Raw genomic sequence first — 26,857 nt, 5'->3', positions numbered from 1 at the left:
ATATTTGCTAAAGATATTAGAAGCGAAGAGTCTTAATATCAGCAACTTTCAAATGGTTCAGGAAGAGAGAGAGAAACAGAGCGAGCATGTGTGTATGTGTGCATGTGTGTCTGTGTGTACATACATGCACACAGAGATTTAAAAACTGTGGCAAAATTACTGAATCTAGATGAAGGATGTGTGTGTACTGTTCTTTCAACTTGTCTGTTTATCTGAATTTTTTTAAAATAAAGGGCTAAGGGCCGGGCACAGTGGCTCTTGCCTGTAATCCCAGCACTTTGGGAGACTGAGGCAGGCAGATCACTTGAGTCCAGGAGTTTGAGACCAGCCTGGGCAAAATGGTGAAACCCCATCTCTACAAAAATTATCCGGGTATGGTGGCACACACCTGTAGTCCCAGCTACCTGGGAGGCTGAGGTGGGAGGATCTCTTGAGCTTGGGAGGCAGAGGTTGCAGTGAGCCAAGATCACACCACTGCACTCCAGTCTGGGTAACAAAGCAAGACCCTATCTCAAAAAAAAAAAAAAAAAAAAAAAAAAATATATATATATATATATATATGTTAATCAATGAGATTCTATACTTAATGTGTCTATGTGTCTAGCACACAGTAGATGCTCAACAAAACATAGAACTGGGGGGTAACAGTTATCCAAGATCAAATAAGTAAATATTTGCAAAGTATCGTTTATGATTCATTCAACAAATGTGCTCTCTGCAGCACCTCGGGTGTGCAGGGTCTGTGCTAGGAGCTGGGGACAGAAGGAGGAGGAAGGCATGCTTCCTAAGATAATGGAGGTAGACATTTGAGTAGGTAATTACAACACAGGATAAATATCAGAGATGGGAAAGTGAGCCTTGGCAAAGGAGAGTGAGTGACTGCACCACCGTTAAGATCAAGAACTTGCGGCTGGGTGTCCACTTCCTGGTTGCAGTGGTGCAGCAGCCAGCAGGCTGCACTTGAAATTCTGGGTGCACTAACTAGCCCCCATATGGACCAGGTCACCCCAGAAGTAGTGCATTCCTGGCCCCGGGATGTCCAGGCTGAAGCTGGGATGAATCCATGTGGGGTGCTGGAGCCAGAATTCCTAAGCTGGGAGTGCTGAGCCTGAGTGGCAACTGCCCTGCCCAGGCTCCAGCCACACTGGCCTTTGCTTGGTATCCCCAGGTATTAAATATAGAAAAAAAACCCAAAAAACCGAAGTGTGTATCTATTCTCATGTACCGCTCAACACAACAGTCTGACACCAATGTGAGGGTGTATTTCCCCTCACACCAAGCAGTTCTCCAGGGGACATCTGCTAGGTGTCCTCTTACTGAATTCAATTCTAATACTATCTATCTAAAGATTGTGTTGGATTCCACAGGTGAAGGGCTCAGTCCCACAAGACTGTTTCCCACTTCAGATACACATTGCAAGTAGTAGGTTATCATCTACACTTCTGACCAATGAGCTATAAATCGAGGCTCCCACTACCACCTACTTGGGTCCAATTAATTTGCTAGTGAGGCTCACAGAACTCAGGGAAACACGTTTACCAGTGTCTTCTCTCTCTCTCTTTTTTTTTTTTTAGATGGAGTCTCGCTCTGTTGCCTAGGCTGGAGGGCAGTGGCGCCACCTCGGCTCACTGCAACCTCCGCCTCCTGGGTTCAAGCAATCCTCCTGTTTCAGCCTCCTTAGTAGCTGGGATTACAGGCACGCACCACCACGCCTAGCTAATTTTTGTATTTTTAGTAGAGTCGGGGTTTCACCATGTTGGCCAGGCTGGTCTCAAACTCCTGACCTCAGATGATCCGCCCACCTCGGCCTCCCAAAGTGCTAGGATTACGAGTGTGAGCCACCATGCCAAGCCTTCAGTGTCTTAATAAAAGTTAAAATAATGGATACAGATGAACAGCCAGATGAGAAGACACATGGGACAACGTCTGGAGAGGTGCTGATTGCAGGAGCTTCTGTCCCCATAGAGTTGGGGTGCACCACCTCCTGGCACTCAGATGTGTTGGCCAACCCAGAAGCTCACTGAACCTCATACTTCAGGGATATTTATAGAGCCTTCATCACGTAGGCATGATCGATTATTAACTGCATTTCAGCCCTTCTCCCTCTTTAGAGAATGGAGGTGGGGCTGAAAGCGCCAAGCTTCTAACAGTGGCTTGGCCTTTCTGGTGACCAGCCCCCATCCGGGAGCCCAATAAGAGTTGCCTTATTGAAACAAAGATACCCCTATTACCTAGGAAATTCCAAGGAATTAGGAGTTCTGTGTCAGGAGCTGGGGTCAAAGACCAAATATTAGAATAAAAGATGCTCCTAGTTCACCTATGTCTCAGGAAATTGTAAGAATTTTAGGAGCTCTGTGCCAGGGACTCGGGCAGAGACCAATACTTATATTTCTTATTATTTCACCCCAGGTAACCCTGTGCCATCTTGTTCAGACCTTACCAGGTCTTCTCTCAGCCTGGATGGCTCCAACAAACACAAATTCCCCCATCCATCAGTTCCCTTTCTCTGAGGACCTTTCTGAACACCTCCCTGCCACCTCATCCCCTATGACTCAGTCAAGAGGCTCCTGATACAATCTGGGTTGCTTTTCCTCATAGCTTTCCTTCAATTCTAAATAATTTGTTTTTGTAAAATTATCTGTCCCGTGTCTGATGTCCTAGTGAGACTGTAAACTCCAGGAAGGAGAAAGTGCCTCTCCCATGCTAATGCTGGTCTCTGCAGCACCTGCGCAGTATCCAGCATGCATACTTGCCCAACCAATATTGATGGAGGAATGACTTGAAGAGCCTGGGTGAGCTCCCAGAGAAGGCAATGGGAGGGGGAGCACACATTTTTTGATTGTCTAATAAGTGCCAGGCTCTGCCGGGCGCAGTGGCTCACGCCTGTAATCCCAGCACTTTGGGAGACCGAGGTGGGGGGAATCACAAGGTCAGGAGTTCGAGACCAGCCTGGCCAATACGGTGAAACCCCGTCTCTACTAAAAATACAAAACTTAGCCAGGCATGGTGGCAGGTGCTGGTAGTCCCAGCTACTTGGGAGGCTAAGGCAGGAGAATCACTTGAACCCGGGAGTTGGAGGTTGCAGTGAGCCAAGATTGTGCCACCACACTCCAGCCTGGGCAGCAGAGTGAGACTCTGTCTCCAAAAAAAGAAGAAAAAATACCTGTGAGGCTGTGTGCTGGGCAGTCTACGCTAATCATCTTATTCATTCCTCAAAAACATTCGGAGATGCAGGTCTCAATAGACCCATTTTACAAGCAAGGAGATAAGAGTTCGAGATGGTGTACATCTCATCAAAGGAAAGGCAAATGCTGCAGAGCCCGGATTCTAATCTGGGTGTGGCTAGTTTGAAAACCTGAGTTCTTTTCCACTTTGGAGGAAAAGTGATTAACGGACAACTCCCCCTTCACACCTGTATCCATGTCCGATGCTTTTTCCAGACAGATTTTGGCTGCAGAGCTGGAAATCACAAAGATCATAATGACAGCTCTAACAGCCGTGCCTAGGCTGATGAAAAATGCCTTTGAACAGCCCGGGCTCACAGGCATTATCTTTGCTAATCCTATAATTGGCCTGACAAGTGGTGAAAGCATAAATGATTTCGGATATGTGCTTTTGTGTTTAAAAGACTGGGATCTGGGGTGAATTCTCCTTTTGTCTTTCAAGTCCATTTGTAGTTACTTTTTACAAAAAAATTTGTTTTTGTTTTGTCATGTAGACATTTTAAAGCATTTTGTAGTCCAATTTGTTAAAACTTTCATTTATGATTTGTTTTATAAATTATAGAAGAAACTACAGAACTAACTTACTCATTTTTCTTGTAGTCTATTTATTTATTTTACATTTGGCTGGGCATGGTAGCTCATGCCTGTAATCCCAGCACTTTGGGAGGCCGAGGTGGGAGGATCACTTGAACCCAGGAGTTCGAGAATAGCCTAGGCAACATAGGGAGATCCCGTCTCAACAAATAATTTTAAAAATTATCCAGCGTAGTGGCATGCGTCTGTGGTCCCAGCTACTCTGGAGGCTCAGATAGGAGGATCACCTGAGCCCAGGAGAATAAGGCTGCAGTGAGCCATGATTGTGCTGCTGCACTCCAGCTTAAGTGACAGAGTGAGACCCTGTCTCAATAAATTTATTTATTTATTTATTTATTATTTTAAGTGTTTGGCCCATTAGTGATACATACAAATTCAGTTTTCTTTTCTTTTTTTTTTTTTTTTCAGGTAGCCTAGCTAATCATATCTCTATTGATTGACCAACTGAAGGACGAGTTTACTACTGATGGGTCCCCAGTCATTCCCACTGGTATTCAGACTAAAAGCAACATTGGTGGCAGGAAAGTCCACAGGAAAGGCTCTATTTCAGGAAGAAGCCAGAAACCCTGGAGAGAATCCTAGTTCTGCCCCTAACCTGCAGGATGGCCTTAGATGGATCTCTTTTTGTACCTTACTTTGAGTTTATAGCTCTACCACTAGGGAGAGAGGAAGAGGAACAAAGTAATCTCTGGCACTGATAATTATCTTTGCATAACCCTTGAATTCTTGTGATAAAAATAAATGTATAGACCGGGCGCGGTGGCTCACGCCTGTAATCCCAGCACTTTGGGAGGCCGAGGCAGGCAGATCACAAGGTCAAGAGATCGAGACCATCCTGGCTAACACAGTAAAACCCCGTCTCTACTAAAAATTTTTTAAAAAATTAGCCGGGCGTGGTGACGGGCGCCTGTAGTCCCAGCTACTCGGGAGGCTGAGGCAGGAGAATGGCGTGAACATGGGAGGCGGAGGTTGCAGTGAGCCAAGATCGCACCACTGCACTCCAGCCTGGGCGACAAAGCAAGACTCCGTCTCTAAAAAATAAATAAATAAATAAATGTATATTCAAATAACACCGATATACCTTTTTTTTAACCTATCAGACTGGCAAATACTGAAAAGATTGATATTACTTATTATTGGCAAAGATGTAGGGAAATTCTCTTAAAAAACAAAAACAAAAAAATCTCAGGCTGGGCACGGTTGGTCATGCTTGTAATTCCAGCACTTTGGGAGGCCGAGGCGGGTGGATTACTTGAGCCCAAGAGTTTAAGACCAGCCTCAGCAACATGGCAAAACTCCGTCTCTACTAAAAATACAAAATTTAGCCGGCGTGGTGGCACACGCCTGTAATCCCAGCTACTCGGGAGGCTGAGGCACGAGAATCGCTTGAACCCAGAAGGCAGGGTTTGCAGCGAGCTGAGATTGTGCCACCGCACTCCAGCCTAGACAACAGAGTGAGACTCTGTCTCAAAATAATAATAATAATAATATACTTATAAAGTACGTTATAAGTAAAATAATACTTATAAAAAGTGACATAATACTTATATAAAGTACTTAAAACAGTGCCTGACACTCCCGGAGTAAGCATTCCCCAAATATTAGCTAGCTATTGTAACCATGATATATACTTTGGTGACAAATTGTGAACGTTTATCAGGTGTCCTTTTAATGGCATACTCTGTGTTGTCTAGATCCTTTGGGGGTTACCTGATTCTATAGGGGTCTTTCCCTGTCTCTGACTAGGCTATTTCACAAGTCTATGAGTTCTAGAAAAGTAATAGTAATGTTACAGTAGGTAGTTAGTCAGACATGAGCAGGGCAGGAGAGGGACCCCTCTCACTCGGAATGTTAGGTGATCATCAGGTGGTTATTATACTATCTCTCTAAAATGAGAATTGGTCAAAGCCAGGGCTAGGGAAAGGCAGTTTCCCAATAGAAAACACCTGAAACCGGTGATTAGTAGCTTCCTGACAAGATCTCAGGAATTGGGCAAGTGGGCTCAAGCATGCGCACTCAGAGGCAAAATGGCGGAGTGTAACGGCTATATGTCCCTCCTGTAGGAACGCCGGACTGGTAAGGGAAAAAAATGCCTCAAGTGAGCATGTGCACAACTTCAGTAAACACACTGCACATGCGCCCCTCTCAAGTGCTGGCAGACCACTGTGCATGCAGACAACGCACCCAAAGGGAAGAATCAGGGGAACAGTAACGCAACCCTGCCAGCATGCCAATGTGTAAGACCCCCCCCCAAGTCCAAGGTCAAACCACACACTGGACTCTCTCACGTTACCCACTTGGCTCTCTTCCAAGTGTAGCTTTTTACTTCCTTTGGTTCCTGCTCTAGAAAATTTTAATAAACTTTTACTCCTGCTCTAAAATTTGCCTCAGTCTCTTACTCTGCCTTAAACACCTCAGAAAAATTCTTTCTCCTGAGGAGGCAGGAATTGAGGTTGATGCAGATCCATATGGATTCACCACTGCTAACATACGTTGGTGCTGTGAGACTCAGATACGCCCCCTAGAGGTAATTGTAATGCAAATTATCCTTGCCCATGGAAATGCAAATTTTGTCCCATAAATGTACAATAAATAAATGTACAGAGACAATTCCAAACATCGCATTTTATTACCCTAAAAATAATAACCAATTTTTCATCTATCAAATTTATTTCTGCATTCTTGATTGCCTATATATACTTGTCTGTTAATCAGATTCTCCTTTGAACTGGCTTTAATATATTATTTCATTAATAATCGAGTAAAATAAAATCTTTGACAAGCACTCATTTTATATTTCTTTAAGAGTCATGATTTTACCTTTTAAAAATTATAACTATTTCTAGTATGATCCTATCTTCATTAAAAAGATGTTTGTCTTTCTATTTCTTAGAGAAAACTTGAAAGAATGAACACAAAAATGTTTACAAAGGATATCATGGCAGAGGTAGGTGGAAAACATTTCAGTTGCCTGTTACTCTCTTCTTTATACATTTCATATGATCCAAACATTTGTATACTGGGCATCTGTTTTATAGCAACTTAAAAAAAAACCCACCTATTCTCCCTTTTAAAAGACAGAACAGGAGACTTTCCTGCTGGAACCAGTCCTTTGGGATGGGAGGAGAGAGTGTTGAGGGGTCAGATGTGAGCAGCTTCCTCACTCTGTAGGGCTTGGTTATTTATCTAAGGAGACCCCTTAAGAAGCAGGGCAGGCCAGCTTATTTCCCAGCAGACCTGTTTTTTCTGACATAACGCACTTAGGCATAAAATCAATTGAAAGTGGCAGAGCATCAAAGTCATCTTAGTGGCCAGGTTGAGGTGGTCAAGCCTGAGAGCTGGGCCTCAGCTCTGGCTAGCTCAGCCTCTTTGACTATGTGCTGGTCAACTAGCTCAGACTCTCGCTGTGGCCCAGAGAATGTCAGCCCTGGAAGAGACCCACCTAATCCCATCTCTTCTTTCTATGAATGGGAAAACAGGCCTGAAGAGGGGAGGGAACCGGCAGAGGGCACACAGCAAATTGGGGTCACTCTAGCACTCGAACCCTGATGTCCAGAGTTCTGGCCTAATGCTCTTTTACCTCTCCGTATTGGGCTGATTGTGAAGGGCCTTGAATGCCAAGCCAAGGAGAGAAACATGTCCCAGAGAAACATGGCACGCTAGAACAGGAGAGGGGACCATCAAAGCTGCACTGTAGAAAGTCTTCACTTAGAGCAGGGAGGAGTTTACCTCTCTCCTTCTGGGGGCTGGGCTGGGAATTGGGGCTGCTCTTAAGACCTAATGAAGACCAGGCCTTCAATAAACTGCCCTTGCAAAGCAGGCTGCCATTTAATTGCATCTGAAGGAAAAACTGGCTGCTCTTTTTTTTATTTTGGGAAGAACATGGTCAGGGGACTTTTGTTATGTAAAGGGAGATGGAAATCCCCTTGAAATGGAGAAGTTTCGGACAATAAAGTGGCATCATGGAAAGGTTGAGTTTGTGATGTTAACTGGCTTTTCTCGGACTGGGCCGAGGCGCCCCTCCTCGGGGTCTCTGCCAGAATGAGTGAGAGAGGCGGCCCCTCGGCGCTGAAGAGAGCAGGAGATGGAGTCTGCCATCCAGGCTTAAGTTCCTCTTTATTACGTACACTGTTCCCAAGCCTGAGGCCCCAGATCTCACAATTTTTGACATTTCAACAAACGAATCACACCATTGTTTACTTAATATTTTTCTGTACATCTATTCACTTTTAACAATTGATATTTTTAAAGAAAATTTCTATTGCTACATCAATAGAAAATCAACTTCATTTCCATAAAAATAAATACAAGGAAAACAAAACAACGCGATTAAGTTCTGGCTAGATACGGTTGCCTGTTCTGTCTTTGTTAGAAAGGGAGATTGGAATTGCATTAGAGAACTTTTACTGGCATATTAGAAACAACTGGAAAATTTCCTTGATTTAATCAAAAGGAAGGGAAAATAATTGAAAATAGAATAACTATCTCACTAGGTGGTTTAGTTACCTAATGTGTTTGTGTGAAACAGCTGAAATTAGCTGTGGTTCCACCACTGATTCTAGCCAAACCTTGGAAAATGCTTTGGACGGGACCTTGCTCTCCCACCCATTGGCTGAGTGACCGTGGCAAAGTTCCTCAACCTGTCTGAGCCTCTGATTCTTCACCTGCAAAATGGATGTGTTAACAGAACCTACCCCCTCGGCTTCTGGGGTACACAGTGACAGAAAGTATGGGAAGAGCTTCACCTACTGTGATCTCTGAGAGGTGAGAATAGTAAGAATACTAATGATGCAGATATCAGTGGGCTAGGGGAGTTCCCCAAATACCTGCAGGACCTCGGCCCCGGCTGGTGTCCAGGCTTTTGACGCCACTGCGGGAAGGAATTCAATGACAAATCAGAAAATAGTGAAAGTTTGGAGAGTTATTGCAAGACAAAAAGTACACACTCAAGAAAAGGCAGTGTGGGCCGGGTGCAGTGGCTCACGCCTGTAATCCCAGCACTTTGGGAGGCTGAGGTGGGCGGATCACCTGGGGTCAGGAGTTTGAGACCAGCCTGACCAACATGGAGAAACCCCATCTCTACTAAAAATACTAAAAATTAGCCAGGCGCAGTGGCGCATGCCTGTAATCCCAGCTACTCGGGAAGCTGAGGCAGGAGAATCACTTGAACCTGGGAGGCGGAGATTGCGGTGAGCTGAGATCGCGCCATTGCACTCCAGCCTGGGCAACAAAGAGCAAAACTTCGTCTCAAAAAAAAAAAAAGAAAAGAAAAAAGAAAGGGGAGTGTAGGTATACTTAAGAGAGAGACAGTCATGCAACCGGGTTTGCAGTTTCCATCTACATGAGTTTCTTTAACCAAGAGGGGGAATATTCATGAAGATTCCTGGAAAAATGTGAAGATTTCTCAGAAATCTGGTGCCACTCATTTTTACACCAAATATGGGTGTTCCAGGATCTGTCCTGGCACTGGTGGGTGTGTGATTGACTATGTTAATGAGCATATAATGAGGTCCTAGGTGAGACCTAAGTCAAATCCAGCGCCATGTTGGGTCTAGTTGGTCTTAGCCAGCTTGACCCACACCCTGGTTTTTCAGGGTCTTCTCAGCCCCTAGCTTCTGCAGCTGTTTAAACAGTTCCCTTTTGCTAGTCATATAAAACTGCTGCCTGGAATGTGCTGTTCTCCTGTGTCAACGCTGTATCATTCCTGTCTCAATGCTATCAGGAAGGCTTTGGTAAAAATCCCTTAACTTGGTGGTGTGCTGTGGCTCCCCTCTGTAATCCCACACCTTGGGAAGCCAAGGCAGGAGGATCACTTGAGCCTAGGAGTTCAAGACCAGCCTGGGCAACATGGTGAGACTAGTCTCTATTTAAAAAAAAAAAAAAAAAATCCCCTAACTTGAACCTTCTGGTATTTGGTGTGTTTTGGGGAACTGAGTCAGGAGACCGGGTAAAGAGAAGCAGCAAGCGCAGCAGCAGCAGACACAGAGCCCTGGCAGAACTGCCCGGCCAGAGGAGTTGGCCCCCACCAGGTGGATCTGTCCATCAAGGAAGCATCCTCAGGACTCTGAGAAACATCAAGGAAGTGAAACTGAATAAAGATATTGGACTTCAGGTGTCATGCAGGATGGATGCTTGGACAAAACTGGTAGGGTAACCTCCAAATACCAGATCATTTCAGGACCCTGGGAGATGAATATTATTGTCCTCCATTTTACATACAAGAAAAATGAAACTTGTGAAAGTTGCCAGTACCAAAATGGAGTCACTTAGGCTAAACTCTCACAAAATGGAGAGGGGAGGCCATGAAGGAAGGGTCCTCATGCATGTATGCCTACAACAGAAACTATCCAAGAAATTCCACATAAGCCACCTGGCTTGCACAGGGACATTTGTCCAACAGTGGCTGTCTCCACCAATAAGCTAATGCCAACTCCTGCAACAAGCTCCTGTAACCAATGGTCTTTTTTTCAAATTAGCTTACATGTACGTTTCCTCCTTTCTTTATTTTTTTTGAGACAGAGACTCACTCTGTTACCTAGGCTGGAGTGCAGTGGTGCGTTATCGGCTTACTGCAACCTCCGCCTCCCGAGTTCAAGTGATTCTCGTGACTCAGCCTCCTGAGTAGCTGCAATTATGGGTACACGTCATGATGCCTGGTTCATTTTTGTATTTTTAGTAGTTACAGGGTTTTGCCATATTGGCCAGGCTGGTCTTGAACCCCTGACCTCCAGTGATCCACCTGCCTCAGCCTCCCAAAGCACTGGGATTACAGGCATGAGCCACCGAGCCTGGCCTCTCGTCCTTTCTCTTAAAAGCTTCCTCTTGCCCCATCCCCTTTGGTGCACCTGTGGTCCACCACAGCATGTGCACCCAAAATCGCAATTCCCTGTTATTCTCAAATAAACTCTTTGTTTTGGAGAACTGGTCTCTCTGCTGTTTATTTCAGGTTGACAGACCTAAAATATAATACAATATTAAATGACTGCCAGACAATTCATAGCAGACCTATACTCCATGACCACCCTTCTTAAGAGCTCAACAAATGTTCTGAACATGCTTAGTCATAGCTAAACTGTGAGTCAGGGCATGAGGTAGACTGGACACATACATAAAAAGAATGAATAAGATCAGGATATGCAAAACAATATGGACAATTTGATCGTACTTATGTAAAAGAGAAAACACACACCAAAGTTATATCTTTATGTATGTACCCTTATATACGCAAAAGCTTGAAACAGACCTGGTAGCAGTATTAACGGTTGGGTAGAAAAGAGCAGAGAAAGGAGGGCTTGTTTTGTTTGAGGTTATAATAATAATAATAATAATAATAATAATAATAATAATACATTTCTATATTATTTGAAATATTTAAAAATTTAATTAAATTTAAAAAATTTAAAGAAATGGCTGTTGTGGGCTGAATTGTGCCACTCAGCCACATCCCAATTGAATTGAAGTCCTAACCCCCAGTACCTCAGAATGTGACTGTATTTAGAGACAGGGTCTTTAATGAGGTAATTAAATTAAAATGAGGTCACTAGGGTGGGCCCTAATCCAATATGAATGGTATCTTTATAAGAAAAGGAGATTAGGGGCCTATTGGAGGGTTTAGGTTGGGAGGAGGGAGTGGCTCAGGAAAAAGAACTAATGGGTACTAGGCTTAATACCTGGGTGACAAAATAATCTGTACAACAAACCCCCAGGACAGAAGTTTGCTTCTGTAACAAATCTGCACAGGTACTCCTGAACTTAAAATAAAAGTTATTTTTTTTTTTTTTGAGACGGAGTTTTGCCCTGTTGCCCAGGCTGGAGTGCAATGGTGCGATCTTGGCTCACTGCAATCTCCGCCTCCCAGGTTCAAATGATTCTCCTGCCTCAGCCTCCTGAGTAGCTGGGATTACAGGTGCCCACCACCACACCCAGCTAATTTTTTTTTGTATTTTTAGTAGAAACAGGGTTTCACCATGTTGGCCAGGCTGGTCTCGTGATCCACCCTGACCTTGTGATCCACCCGCCTTGGCCTCACAAAGTGCTGGGATTATAGGCGTGAGCCAATGTGCCCAGCCAAAGTTGAATTTTAAAAAAGAAATCTCCTTAAGTTAGAAAAATACTTTAAAAATCTAAATAAAGTGGAAGACAAAACCCAGAACTAAAAAAAGAAGAGGAAATTAGGATGCAGACACAAACAGAGGGAAGACCATGTGAAGACACAGGAAGAAGACAGTCATCCACAAGCCAAGGAAGAAACCAACCCTCAGAAGAATGCAACGCTTGGACATCTTGATCTTGGACTTGTAGCCTCCAGAATAAAATAATTTTCTGTTGTTTAAGCCACTGAGCCTGTACTATTTGTTACGGCAGTCCTAGCAAACTAATACAATGACCAAGGTAAAATTCCTGTCTTCCAGGAACTCCTAGCCTAGTGGGAGAAGTGGGTAATAGAATAATCTCACTATAATACCAAGAAAACAGGGAGAAGTCCTGCAAAATACAGAAGCAAGGTACTACGGAACCTGGGGGTAGGAGGATATTACAAGGCCTGGCAGGCATCACAGAGGAAGTGGCTTTTGAGCTGGGCCATGAAGGATAAGAAACAGAGAAAAGCAGGCAGGTAGGAGAGTTAGGGACTGTTTCTGGGGGAAATATAGCAAGCAAAGTCTTGGCCAGTGAATGTCTGTCCTGTGTCAGATTAAAGCAGCAATGTTTTCCCTGAGTACAGGCTTCAGGAAGTGGTGGAGACGTAGCTGGAGGTAGTTGTTGGCAGTTTCATTTGTCAGCTGTTCTTGATAGCTGTTGGCCATCATGGAGGGTTACTAAGCATGGGAGTGACATAGTTGGATTTGCTTTGTAGAATGATCACTCTGATGGTCCATGAGGCAGGAGTTGAAAAGTGATGGGCCGGGTGCAGTGGCTCACGTCTGTAATTCCAGAACTTTGGGAGGCTGAGGCAGGTGGATCACCTGAAGTCAGGAGTTTGAGACCAGTCTGGCCAACATGGCAAAAACCCGTCTCTACTAAAAATACAAAAATTAGCCAGGCCTGCTGGCAAGCCCAGCTACTTGGGAGGCTTAAGCAGGAGAATCGTTAGAACCCGGGAGGCAGAGGCTACAGTGAGCTGAAAAAAATAATAAATAAATAAATAAATAAGAAAAGTGATGGCCTAAGAGCCTTTCAGTCCACAGAAATGTTTTGTTTCACTCACCCAGCTATTTTTTTCAAAATTAATTAACTATTCTAACAGTTAATAAATTACAAACAATTATAGGTATAATTATAATTTATATGATACTTGAAATATATGGCTTGTAATATAATTTCTAATCATAAACATTATAATTAATTTTCCAATAAATTAACATAACCATGTTAATTCTATTGGTTGATTTACATGTACATTATAAATATTAGTAAATTGGAGAGCTCTTAAAATCTTCAGGTTTTTTTTTTTTTGAAACAGAGTCTTACTCTGTCACTCAGGCTGGAGTGCAGTGGCGCGATCTTGGCTCACTGCAACCTCTGCCTCCTGAGTTCAAGCAATTCTTCTGCCTCAGCCTCTCAAGTAGCTGGGATTATAGGCACTCGCCGCCACACCTGGCTAATTTTGGTATTTTTAGTAGAGATGGGGTTTTACCATGTTGGCCAGGCTGGTCTCGAACTCCTGACCTCAGGTGATCCACCCACCTCGGCCTCCCAAAGTGCTGGGATTATAAGTGTGAGCCACCAATCCGGCCAATTTTCAGGTGTTTTAGAGATCTTTTAACCAATGTTACGGGTTGAATTGTGTCGCCCCACAAAAAGAAAAAAAAATGATATGTTGAAATTCTAACCCCTGGTACCTTTGAATCTGATCTTTTTTGGAAATGAGGTCTTTGCAAATGCAACTTAGATGGAAATTAAGATGGGTCATATATGAGTGTGGGGGGGGGGGTCCTTAATTCAATATGACTGGTGCCCTTAGAAGAAGAGGAGAAGAGATACAAACACAGGGAGAAGACAGCCATATGACAATGACAGGTACAGCCTGGAGTGATGCAGCCAGAATCCAAGAACAACAAGGATTGCCGGCTACCACCAGAAGTTGGGCAAGGGCAAGGAAGGATTTACTCAGTCTCAGAGGGAGCACAGCTGTGCTGACACCTTGATTTTGGACTTCCAGCCTCCAGAACTGTGAGAGAACACATTTTTGTTATTGCAAGCCACCCAGTTCATGGTACTTTTATTATAGCAGCCCTAGGAAGCTCATACAACAAGGAGCCTATATTCCGACCTAACCAGTGGCTGCAGCCCAGTAAGGTACTTCCAGGAGGTACATCTCCAGCCAGATGGCATCGCTCATCCATCTAAGGCATAGATGCTACAACAGAGGTCCAGAAGAGAAAAGATAAGAACTTAACTAATGCAGTAGCTCCTGGGGTCTCAAACTGGGTTAGCTCGTGAGACCTTGGACAAGAGCTCCGTAGGAATATGACATAGGATAACTCAGGAGAAATGATGTGTTCCTGGGAATGCTATCTGCTAAGTCTTTGGAATTGGTAGGAATGCAGGCTTATCCCTCTTTGTTCTTAGAAACAGTCATTCCTTACTTCATGAAAGAGGATAAACTAGTATTTATTATTAATATATTTTGTACACTACCATGAACCAGGCCTTGTTTTGTGGGTTTTATTATATATGTTGTGCCATGTAATCCTCCCACAATGCTTTGAAAATTCTCCACTTTATAGACAAGAACACTGAGACTCAGAAAGATTATGGAACCTAGATTTTAAAATGTAGAACTAACATCTACCCTTTGGTTTCTGGCTTATGGAAGAAGAAGAAAAGGAAGAAGAGGAAGAAGAAGAGGAAGAGGAAGAAGGAGGAGGAGAGAAAGAGAGAAAAAGAAGGAAAGAGAGAGAAGGAAGGAGAAAGAAGGAAGAAAGAAGAAGAGGAAGGAAGGAAGGAAGGAAGGAAAGAAAGGAGGAGGAGAGAAGGGAGAAAAAAAGAACTAGCATTTTCTCAATGCCTTCTAGGTGCCTGAGCTGGCATTTTAGGCATGCACTCGTTGAATCTTCACGAAACCCTGTGAGGTAGGTGCTTTTATGATCCCCATAGTATGCCCTGCACCATTCAGATAAGGAGACTGAGACTGAACAGGTCAAGTAATTGCTGAAGCTGGATGAGGGATACAGCAGTCTGTGCTTTTGTCTGGATCTAAAGTCCTTGCTCTAAAAGAAGGTACGAGCTCGTCGGTTGAAAGGGCTTTTAATCTTTTCATTCATTCATTCATTGATGAATGCTCTTTATCGTTTTATGGATTTTGGAAAGAAGGCAGCTGGGTGTAGCTGAGAGGACCCCAGCCCATGTGCTGAGAGACTTGGGCTCTGGTCTAGCCTGAGCCTCAGTGTCCCCATCCATGACATGTGGGGGCTCTAAGGGCTGATCTCAAAGGCCCCTTCTTGTGCCAAGAGTCTATGATTTTGTGATTCCCCAGCCTTGGGAAGAAGTCACCAATTAATATTAATACAACAGCTCACAATGCTAATTTGCCAAGATCTCAGCTGACGGCAGAGTCAGGATTTTAATCCAAGCCCACCTGACTGCAAACTTCTTCACTTTCTTCTGGCTTGGAAAAACAGAGGAACTAACAAAGAGACTGAGGAAACAATGCTGCCAAACCAGGTGTGCCTGAGCAACACAAATGGGAGCAGTAGCCACAGGCTGGGAGTTCTGGCAGTCAAGAGGGCCTGGCATGGGCCTGCTGCGCCCTCTGGTGGAGCACGCCTGATTCGGCTCCTCTGGATTTGTCGTTTTGATACCAGAATAGACGAAGGGATACAGGAAGCCGGAAGTGGTTTTCCCCATAGTTTTTGGAAGCCAGTGACCCCAGCTATTGTCCTAAAATGTAGACTGCTTGGAGCCATTTGTCACTCCTCCGTGAAGCCCAGCTGCCCTGGGTTTATTTATTGATGAGACTAATTATATTTTGTTTCTGATTTTATAACTTGTAGATACTTAGGCCGGGTATCGAGCAGTGAACCCACCAGAAATGGTACCTTTCCCACTCAGCTCAGGGTGAGGAAAGGCAGACATTAAACCTGTAAAATTCAAAATAAATATATGGGCAGGAAGAAATTCTCCTTCCTTCACGCTGCCTTTTCTCCTTAGCTTTCCCTCCAATCTCTGGACGGGAAAAAGATCTTTGTCAAGAGCAAGAGCCAGGTGCAGTGGCTCATGCCTGTGATCCCAGCACTTTGGGAGGCCGAGGTGGGTGGATTACTTGAGGTCAGAAGTTTGAGACCAGCCTGGCCAACATGGCGAAACCCCTACTCTACTAAAAAAAATATACAAAAATTAGCCAGGCGTGGTGGTGCGCACCTGTAGTCCCAGCTGCTCGGGAGTCTGAGGCAGGAGAATTGCTTGAATCAGGGAGTAGGAGGTTGCAGTGAGTAGAGATCACACCACTGCACTCCATCCTGGGCAACAGAGCAAGACTCCATCTCAGAAAAAAAAAAAAAAGGCCAAGGAGTGAGACCAAAAGACTTTCAAACATAAAAAATGCTTTAAAATTATGTCTAGCTTAATTTGTCGCAGATACCATGCTCTGGGGATTCTAAAATAATTTCTAATCTGTACTGAAGCAATGCCCAGAGTCAACCTTGAAGGCTGTATTGTAAGCCTCCTCCAGGAGGGCACTGACTCCCTGGCAGGGAGAGAAGAGGGTGGGAAATGATAGAGGGCTACGGTGAAGTGGGATTTTACACACATTTATAACCTTCACGACAATCCAATAAACTAGGGACCACCATACCTATTTTACAGATGAGGAAACTGAGGCCCAGAGAGATTAAGATGCTTGCCCAAGTCTCAGAGCTAATAAACTGCAGAGTTGGAATTTAAATCTTGGAGAAACAACTGATAAGGATTAGAGAGTCTGGTTTCCAGTGTGAGCTCTGAAAACGCTTGCTTGTATAGCTGCTGGGATATCTGTTTTGTTATGTTTTTTTATCGCATTATGAGGGCTCAGTTAAAAGGCATCCATAGTCTCTTCCCCATCGGCCCATATAAGGGACTCTACAGAAAAACGGGAAGGTGGTCACTGAAGGGCTTCAGTGGACAGGAGGAGACAGGAGCCCAGGTTTGAGCTCAATCATTAGTCATTGATGAATGAATGCATGGTTAACCCAGCGGCCTCTCCTTAATCTCACAGCTTCACCAGTAAGCAAATACAGAGTATCAGAGCCCTCAGAGATTCCCTTATCCAGCTGTTTTTAAAGTTTTTGAACAGAAGTCCAATTCATAAAGCCCTTCAAAAAATATATTTTTTTGCTATGGGTTTTTTCTTTTGGTGGGGAGGTGGTTATTGGGAGAGAACGGAAGAGGAGATAGAGCCCCATCTACTTGAACTGCCCTGCAAGACTGTGGTCCTTTGGTCTGAAAAATAAAATTGAACTGAAAAGATCAACTAACCTCTCTACATTCCAGATAGGAAAATTGAGGCCCAGAGAGGGGAAGCTACCCAGCCAAGGTCACACCGCTGGTTTCAGCTAAGTCCTAACCTCAAGCTCTCATTCCCAGTTCAGTGCTTTATCCACCTTACCCCTATCCCAGCCAGATCCCCAATTAATTATTAATAGCAACTTTTACACCTGGAAGTATTTATAAGCAGTATCAGCTACTAAAATGCCATCACCTACTTACATAGTGGCTAAAGGATCTGTTGTGTGAGCCAAATTGCTCAAAGTTTCAAGGCATTTTAAGACTTGTGGGTTTTTTCAGCTTTGTTTGTTTGTTTGTTTTTGCTGTCATATGCTTTTTTATGTGGTAAAATATAGATAATATAAAATTTACCATTTTAGCCACTTTTAAGTGTACTATTTAATAGCACTAAGTACATTCACATTGTTGTATAACCGCCACCACTATCCATCTTCAGAACTTTTTCATCATCCCAAACTGAAACTGTACTCATTAAATAATACCTCCCCATTCCTCTACCCCCAGGGGAACCACCTTCCAATTTTCTGTGTCTCTGTATTTGACTATTCTATGTACTTCATATAAGTGGAATCCTATACTATTTGTCTCTTTGTGACGGGCTAAATTCACTTAGCATAATGGTTCATCCTTGTTGTCGCATGTGTCAGAATTTCCTTCCTTTTTCAGGCTGAATAACATCCCATTATTATCAACAATATCCCCAAATGTGGCATGTATCACATTTTGTCATCCATTCATTCCTCAATGGACACTCAGTTGTTTCCACATCTGTGAGTGGAGTTAATAACATTACTTACCTTGTGGTATAATTGCAAAGACTGAATGAGGTAAAGCGGTTTACACAGTGCCTGGTTATGGGCTAAAAATTCGGCAAGTCATTCCTGTGGGCAGAGAAGGGGTGAAATGTTTTATAATGTGTTCTTATCCCTTCCAATGCACTCATACTGGTATTGAAACCCTCTCATGCAAGTGTGGTAGTTTACAGTTGCCAAACCACATGCATGTCGGTGATCCCACGTGCATTCCTAGCCCTTCTCTGTAAGGTTCACAGGACGGGTGCTGGTATCTCCATTTCACAGAGGATAAACTGAGGCAAAGAGAAGGCCCCAGATCAGCCAGATATTAGCAGCTCTCAGTGGCTGTCTCTCTGGCTCTTGGGGAGTCCACTGTGGTAGACTGGGTTACATTCAGCTATATTCACCTCCCCAAAGGAGAATTATGCACCCCAACTCTATCAATATGAGGCTATAAGACTTGCTCTGGCTAAGAAAATTTGAGCATAAGTGATGTGTGCTACTTTGGAGCAGAAGCTTGAAGACTTAGCACGTCACTCACCAGGTCTCTTTTCCCTCCGCCGTGACATCTGACAACGTTCCAGAGAGAGAAACGGAGAGACACAGACAGGCAGCGTGCTCCGTCAGCCTGAGTCCTAAAGTGAAGATGGTGTGGAACAGGGAAGTAGTTGACACATTATGGACATAGAGAGTGGGCAAGAAGCACACCTTTGTGATAAGGTTTAAATCCGCTGAGATTTTGGAGTCATTTCTTACACAGTAAAACCTAGCCTCTCCTAACTAATATATCTATAAAGGCAATATCCTTTCCTGAGAGTAGGGATTTATTATATCACCTCTAGATGAATCTTGACTGGTCTATTGTGCATGTATGCGTGCGTGTATGTGTGTTCATGGCACAAAGAATATGAGAAAGTGAAGGCCTAGCCCAAATTGTTCCAGATACTATGCAGAGAGGCCTGTTTCTCATTCTTCATCTCTTCTCTCCAATTATTTGTATTACTCTAAAGAAAACTTTCTGATTTCTGTTGAATTCTATGATAGCAGATAAAGGTTTTCTTCTTTCCTAACTTACTTGGGGAAACTGCTTTCAGGAGCTATGTATTGGCTCTTGGAAATAATTCTAGCAGCTTCTGTTTCCTGAGTGTTTATTCCCTACCAGGCACTATGCTAAGAGCTTCTCATGCTCTGCTTCATTTTCTCTTAATAATTCACATAGGTATTAAATGCTGCTGTTTCCTGATTTTTGAGACAAGGAAATGAAGAATTAGAGACCTTAAGGAACTTTCCAAAGCCACACAGCTACTAAGAAGCAAGGCTGGGACTGAAATCCAATTACAGTGTTGGATGATTTCTGACTTGTCAGTTTGGGTCCCTCATGTATTTGTAGGCACTATTATGCTTGCTTCCACTGGTATTTCTTCCCCCCTCCCCACCCCCCGCTGCTAATTCCAAGCCCCACTCTTTGCTCACCATGGATGGTAGAAGGGAATCTCCTTTCCTTAGTCCTGGTTTCAGTGAGGAAGGATTTTTTTCTGAGCACATTCTTGGTTCCTCTCCGTGCTTTATCCATTCCTGGAAGGATGAAGGATTGTACATTTGAGAATACCTGGTCATGCCCAACTCAGCACTTCTTCTGATAGGGAGGGAGCTGCTCCTCAGCCCTGCTCCCTTCAGCAGGAGGCCTGCCCTAGTCTTTGCAGCCCACTTCTGGGGTTCACTATTAGTGGCACCCTTCAGCTACCAACCCTAAAAGTTTCTTCTCCAACCTGGCAATATCACTAATAAAGAAAATATTCTGGCCTTCCTCTGCATCTTTTTGTTGATATCTCAACTTGTTCAGAAGTCAGACGAGGCAAAGGAATGCTATTTATTCAGAGTCCTGCATAGAGCCCCAAATGGGCATCCTAAGGGAACTGCACTGGTGGGAAAGATTTCATGGTCCACTGATGGTCCCTGTCCTCACCTTGGTGGCCTCAGGGTTTAACATCAGCCTCCCTGGACCTTCAAGGTGCTCTAACACCTGCCCCCCTTTTAGGCAATGAAGGATGGTATGGCAAAAATAGCTGGTTGTTTCTCAGTATCCATTCTTTTCTTCCCTCATTAGTAATAATCCTCCCCAGAACAAAGACTAAATTTCTCTGCATCCCTTTCAGCTAGGTGTGACCATGTGACCTACCAATGGGATGTCAGCAAAAGCAATAGGTACAACTTCTGGGTCATACACTTAACAGGAAGGCATGTGCTATCTACTTCTTTTTCTCCCCTCTCCTGGTGTTAGCTGGAGTAAGTATTTTGAGCCATGATATAGAAGCATGATTTGGGGGTGGCAGTGCCATAACCAAGGAGGAACTTACATCTTGCTGCCTTCAAGCTGCTATATCACCTCTGTACTACTTACCCAGACTTCCATGTGCGGGAAGAATACATTTCTATCTTGTGAAAGCCACTATCATTCTTTAGTCTCTTGTTTGCAGCATCTGAACCCATGTATTCTAAGCAGGTACTCAAGAAGTGCTTTCCAACTGGGGAAGGGGTTCAGGGCTCTGGCAGGAACCTAAGTGTGTGCCTGATTCACATGGATGAGGGAATCAGTGAATAAAGGTAGGAGAGAAGAGAAGGACCAGGCATTTGTTGAATGCGTGGAATATTCTAGATACTGTACCACATACTTTCAGTTACACTTTCCCAGTTAATCTGAACAACAATTCCGTGTGTGTATGGGTGAGGGGAAAATCTATTATCTGATTTTATAGTTGAGGCTCAGAGAAGTTAAGTGATTTGGGCCAGGCACAGTGGCTTATGCCTGTAATCCCAGCACTTTGGGAGGCCAAGGTGGGTGGATCCCTTGAGCTCAAGAGTTCAAGACCAATCTGGACAACATCAAGAAACTCTGTCTCTACAAAAAATACACACACACACACACACACACACACACACACACACATATTAGCCAGATGTGGTGGTACGTACCTGTAGTCTCAGCTACCTGGGGGGCTGAGGTGGGAGGAGTGCTTGAGCCCAGGAGGTGGAGGCTTCAGTGAGCTGATATCGTGCCATTGCACTCCAGCCTGTGTGACCAAGTGAGACAGGAAGAAAAAAAAAAAAGAGAGAAGTTAAGTGATTTGTCTAAGGTCACAGGAAATGAAACTGAAGTCAGTTTGAGTCTCAAAACCATATACTTTCCTCCATAGCATACCATTTACTCATTAACTCCCTCCACCAAATACAGTACTATATTCTACAATACAAAAAATCCTGCCCCTGTTGGGAGATGACCTTCCATGGGTCTCATGTTTCTGTACATTTTGTGAGCATAGGCACTGACTGCCCTTTGTCCTAGACTGTCTTTTCAAGGATGTTTGTAGGGCAGGCTTGGAGGATAGAGATAGTGTTTCCCTCTACAGCAAAAATAGATATAATTACTTCCCATTATAAAATATGTGATTTCCCTAAGCTCAGGGTTCTTCTGTAATACAATCCACTGTGTGTGCTGGTACCCCTTCATATCACTGCCCATGGGTCTTTGGCACAAAGAGAACTGATGCACATATGCTGATGCTCATGCTGCTTGCTGTGCTGTGAATAATACAGACCTCTGTCTTTGACTCAGAAGTCTCACATCTTCTGCCTGTATCCATGAAACTGGCAGGCTGGCTTGTTAGCTTGCAAGTAGAGTAAAATCTCAGTTCTCAACAGCACCTTCATCATCACTTTAATTCAGTTGTGTTACATCACACATGCTTTTAACTCGCATTATTTCAACTAAATGTACAAAGTCAGAAAAAGCAATAAAGAAATAATTTAGATATCAATCTCCCTTCCCTTTTTCTGAATAAGTGCATGCCTTGGAGTGAGCATGCAATGAAAGAGTTAAATGTTTTCTCAGTAGGTCTCAGTTTCCATGTGGATCTCACGGTGTGGTCATTATGCCCCACTGAGTGTGAATCTAAAGTTGAAAGATGTTTACCAAGCATGGTGGCACATGCCTGTGGTCCCAGGCTGAGGTGGGAGGGTGGCCTGCGCCTGGGAGGTGGAGGTTGCAGTGAGCCAAGATCACTGCACTCCAGCCTGGGTGACAGAGCCAGACTTAGTCTCGAAACAAACAAACAAACAAACAAAGTTCAAAGATGCATTCTTTTTTTTTTTTCATGTAACATGGCCTCTTAAGTCGAAACCACCAACTTCTGGTCGTCAGCCAAAGGAATGCTTCAATGACAATAAATGAGTCTCCGGTAGGGTGCTTTCCTGGGAAAATTTCAAGCTTGCTTTTTACCTCATTAATGTCATGCCCTCATAAGCTGTGACACGAGAGGATATTTTTTGGGAGGGGGTGGTATAAGGTGTATGGGGAGATGAAAGGGCACTATTTCAATGGACACACAATTTCTTTTACAATTGAATACAGAATGTACTTATTGTTACATTTATGCATCACCTTTTTTTAGTGTGATAAGTTGAATCTAATCCTTTTTCATACCCAGAGACGAATGAGTCTCATGCCCTTGATTTTGATTTCTTTGTCAACCTACTAAATTTTGAAGTATATTAATTGCTGTTTCTGTTTTGGTTAATGTCGACAGCCATACCACCATGACCGCACCTGATCTCAACTTTTTTTGGTTAAACTAGCTTTTTTGACCATTTCTTTTTAATTAAATTATGTATCACTGGAAGTTAATCAACTACATTAAAATATATTCGTTTTTTAAATTAGGTAGAACACACATGTGGTAATAAAATTTAGAGTACAAATTGTATTAGTTCTTCTAAATCTTCAATACTGCTTCAGGAATTGGGACACCAGTATTTTAAAGTCTGAGTGTGGCTCGGTGGCAACTCCAAAACCACTAAACAAAAAAGATTCAAGCATAGGGGTAGGGGGGAATCTCCAATTCAAGATAAGCCTATGAACCAAAATTCACAAGCATAAGAGGAAAATGAACAAATAAAATTAAGCCTATAATGAGGAGATGAATTAATTTTGTTTAAATAAACACAACAGAGAGATCTGAAAATGACTTTAATTGTTTAGGCTCTGGGAAGAGATGAAGGATAAAATAACATCTACTTTTTACAAAACAATTTATAAAAATACAAGCAGAAATGAAGCCAGAGCAGGTGACAAACAACCTGCACACCTGGAGGATTCCAGGCATCTTCCCAGGAACAGGTGACCCCTCACACATTTGCTATATCTTCCAGCAGATGGTTAGCTTGTGTCATTATGCCACACTCCTCTCTGATGGACACTTCTTTGCCGTACTCCAATCTGGGACTAGAAAGTCAAGGTGGGAGGAAGGGATAAGGGGAAGCAACTTCAGCCCCTCTTCATCTAAGGTTCTCCCCACACCATCCAAAGCCCCTCCAGTGCTGTCTCTCTCCATCTGTGTTCTCCTTTGTGCAGGAAGCAATAGGGCAGAGCAGATCAGTGCTGCCCAAACAGATAGATATCCAGGGAGTTGTCAGTCCCATCTTCCTGCAGGCACACCCAATCCTCACTGGTGATTCTTTTGGAGCCCCTCTCCTTTGGTTCTAGATGAGGACACAGTCTCCATGAGGGGACAGAAAGAAGGCGTCTCTTTCCATGACATTACAATTTCCCTAAAGGCTGACTTCCCTCCCATGTCTCCAATCTTTCTTTCCACAGATTACTGGTGATGGTGTGTCTGTGGGGATGGGGTTGGAAATGGGGAATAGGTGAGGGAGTAGTGGAGTGGAGGTAGAAGTTGGTCAAGAGCTGACTTCTTCAACAACTGCTCTTCAAATTCCCTGCTAGAAGGTAGCTGGCCCCAGCCACTGGCAGTTTTTTCAGTGTAGAATGTGAGCTCCTTGTGGGCTTTTTATTTTCAAGTTTGGGCTTCAGCAACAGATCCAGGACAATAGGAAGAGATGTATACATGGAATAAACCCCTCTCAATGTCTAGTTACATAAACATACATGTCTTCTTTGCCCTCCTCTTATAGTTTAACAAATGTTGGCATACTATTTAGTTTTCTGCACCTTGCTTTTTTCCCTCCAAGTATTTCCTAGACATTGTTCCATATCAGGACATATACATGGGCCTCATTCTTTTTGATGGCTGCATAGTATTTCACAATATAGATGTACTATAATTTACTATTACAGCTTTCTAGTGATAGACATTTAGTTTGTCTCTAGTTTTTTGTTATTACAAACAGTGCTGCAGTGACTATTCCATGTATACATCTCTTCTTATAGAAACAACTTTTTAAAAAAGTTAAGTAGAAACCCCAATGGATGTTTGGCACCCAATGGACAGTCCCTCTTAATTATGCTGCAACTGGTCACATACACTCTCCTCACTTTGAAAATTCTGGGACTTATTAAAAGAATTGACCATTCCTACTGTTTTTTAATTGCATTCCTTAGCATGTGATAGGCACTCTGCATCCACAAGAGTGTTTCTGTTCAAAGCTGCATCAAAGTGTAATGTCTTTCACATAGGAAAGCAGCAGTTAGGGACCTGCATTTAAGCTGGCTATTGTGAAACAAGAGCAAATAAGGGAGGAAATGGAATAGGGCTTAGTACAGCCCTGAGGTCACATGTTGCCAGATTTAAGTCCCACCCAATTTTCACCTAAACGACTTTAGATCTGTATGACACTCAGTTTTTTCATTCATAAAATGGGGTAAATATAGTACTGACTTCATGCGGATGTGGTAAGGATTAAATGAGAAAATATGCATGATTCTTAGGACAGTTGCTGGTACATAGTAAGTGTTGAATAAACATCAGCTATACATAAAGATCTCCCTTCAGGTGATAATGGCTATAAGGAAACTTACTAGCCAGGTCTAAGTTCATACCTGGGCAATTAATGATCATTGGTTCACAGTTTTCTCCTTTACTTGGCACAGGCAAATTTCTTAGTTTCAAAAATGTTAAAGTGTGACAACAAACTATACTTATTAAAGAATGTGGAAATAGAAGCCTAGACCTCTAGGGTTGCAAAAGGATTTCAATATCACCTTAGATTAGATTATCATGTAATAATCATTTCCATTTCTTATTATATACCAGATATTTTGCATATACTATCCCATTTAATTTTCACAAAGACCTATTTGAGAGAGATATTACTATTTTCATATTGCAGAAAAGACTGACAATCTCAGAAATCAAGTGACATGCACAACTGCATACCATTAGATTATAGAGCAGGAATTCGAACCCAGGTCTCTGAAAATATGAGATGTACAAACTGGCACACACTTTTACAGTGAAATCTCACTTGTTCATGGCAGAACCAGTTCATAAAAGGTCCTGAACGCTAAGAGAAAGATTGATTTAATTTGGGGGTGGGGAACTAAGGCAGGGCCACCTTATCCATTAGGCACAGTACAGTATGCACAGGGCTTAGGGCCTCCAATACTTTTAGGGGCCAACAAAAATGAATATTTATTTATTTTAGAGACAGGGTCTCCCCATGTTGCCCAGGCTGGAGTGCAGTGGCTGTTCACAGGTATGATCCCATTACTGATCAGCACGGGAGTTTTGACCTGCTCCATCTCCGACCTGGGCCGGTTCATCCCTCCTTAGGCAACCTGGGTGGTCCCTCCCTCCTGAACTTAAGTGCAGACACTCTATCTAGTGACACAGTGCACTACAGCCCAGAACTCCTGGGCTCAAGCGATCCTCTCTCCTCAGCCTCCCCAGTAGCTAGGATTACAGGCGCAGACTACCAGCCCTCCTTGCTTACGTTCCTTTTTTTTTTTTTTTTGAGACAGTCTCGCTCTGTTGCCCAGGCTGGAGCGCAGTGGCGCGATCTCGGCTCACTGCAAGCTCCGCCTCCCGGGTTCACGCCGTTCTCTTGCCTCAGCCTCCCGAGTAGCTGGGACTACAGGCGCCCGCCACCACGCCCGGCTAATTTTTTTGTATTTTTAGTAGAGACGGGGTTTCACCGTGTTAGCCAAGATGGTCTCGATCTCCTGACCTCGTGATCCGCCCGTCGTGGCCTCCCAAAGTGCTGGGATTACAGGCGTGAGCCACCGCGCCCGGCCGGCTTACATTCTTTTAAAGTCAGAAGAAAAAAATGAACTTTCAGGTCAGAGAAAATATTTTGTTATATAATATTGATACGTCATGTTTATATCAATGCAGTTGTAAAATATGTTAAATATTTATACATATATTTAACTTACATGTGTGTGAAATATATGTGTGTGTGTAATGTACAAGCCACAAGGCAAAAGTGCTCAGGGTCCAAGAAAGTCAAAACGTGTCCCTGCACCCGAAAAGCACGAAACCTTCTGGGGCAGTGATTATGGCAGAGCAAGTTGGAAGATGGCAGGTGGTAGACAAATTGTGAAAAATATCACATTTCTCTCACCCTGTCAAAGGCAACCCCAAAGTGAAGTCAAAATAGAGATGAAATGCAGGGTCACTTCCTAGCTGCGTGATCTTGGACAAGAGAGTTGACCAACCTGAGCCTCAGTTTCTCCATGGATACAATGGGGATGCGTGCCTCCGACGTTTGTTGGACAGGACCGGTATATACGAAGCATACAGCGGTATATACAGTAAATGCCCCCATAAATACACGTTGAATGAATGCAGTAAATGCATGCTTAGCATGGTGGCCAGTATACGGTAAGCGTCCAATAAGTGGTAAATGTTGGCTTTAAAAATTGTTCAAAAGTCTCCACGAGCGACAACCCTAGTTCTCCAAGACGCAGGCGCACCCCACCAGGTTCCACGCAGACCTGCGCAGTAGCTCCCCCAAGAGGCGAGGACACGC

General features: G+C 43.5%; 1 protein-coding gene and 1 pseudogene across 6 annotated transcripts in view, besides 3 other annotated features; both read right to left on the bottom strand.

The window, feature by feature from the left end:
• The window catches only part of GSN (gelsolin), a 131,360-nt gene that overhangs the window by 103,878 nt on the left and 625 nt on the right, over window positions 1-26,857 (bottom strand). For 4 of the 6 annotated variants that reach the window (XM_047423273.1, XM_047423267.1, XM_047423268.1 and 1 more), the window contains exons 1-5: window positions 26,544-26,824; window positions 21,068-21,165; window positions 19,568-19,669; window positions 18,636-18,729; window positions 18,098-18,181 (exon numbers count right to left, since the gene is read on the bottom strand). The gene's annotated coding sequence lies outside the window, so the exon portion shown is untranslated. Of the gene's footprint in view, window positions 1-18,097; window positions 18,182-18,635; window positions 18,730-19,567; window positions 19,670-21,067; window positions 21,166-26,543; window positions 26,825-26,857 lie in introns of those variants that run through there. The other 2 variants (NM_001353054.1, NM_001353053.1) reach the window with 1 other exon arrangement.
• Window positions 7,383-8,033: an enhancer, noted in NCBI's record as "OCT4-NANOG-H3K27ac-H3K4me1 hESC enhancer chr9:123983210-123983860 (GRCh37/hg19 assembly coordinates)". NCBI's record gives its function as "activates a minimal SCP1, AML or CMV promoter by ChIP-STARR-seq in naive H9 embryonic stem cells {active_cell/tissue: H9 hESC(naive)}" and the evidence as "EXISTENCE:reporter gene assay evidence [ECO:0000049][PMID:30033119]".
• Window positions 20,982-21,081: an enhancer, noted in NCBI's record as "active region_28920". NCBI's record gives its function as "activates an Ori minimal core promoter by ATAC-STARR-seq in GM12878 lymphoblastoid cells {active_cell/tissue: GM12878}" and the evidence as "EXISTENCE:reporter gene assay evidence [ECO:0000049][PMID:35858748]".
• RN7SL181P (RNA, 7SL, cytoplasmic 181, pseudogene) lies at window positions 25,530-25,793 on the bottom strand (annotated as a pseudogene).
• Window positions 26,515-26,674: an enhancer, noted in NCBI's record as "active region_28919". NCBI's record gives its function as "activates an Ori minimal core promoter by ATAC-STARR-seq in GM12878 lymphoblastoid cells {active_cell/tissue: GM12878}" and the evidence as "EXISTENCE:reporter gene assay evidence [ECO:0000049][PMID:35858748]".

The sequence above is a fragment of the Homo sapiens genome, chromosome 9 (assembly GCF_000001405.40).
Source record: "Homo sapiens chromosome 9, GRCh38.p14 Primary Assembly".
Classification (NCBI taxonomy): Eukaryota; Metazoa; Chordata; class Mammalia; order Primates; family Hominidae; genus Homo; species Homo sapiens.
The sequence above is the reverse complement of the archived record's forward strand: the minus strand, read 5'-3'. Positions and strand labels throughout refer to the sequence as shown.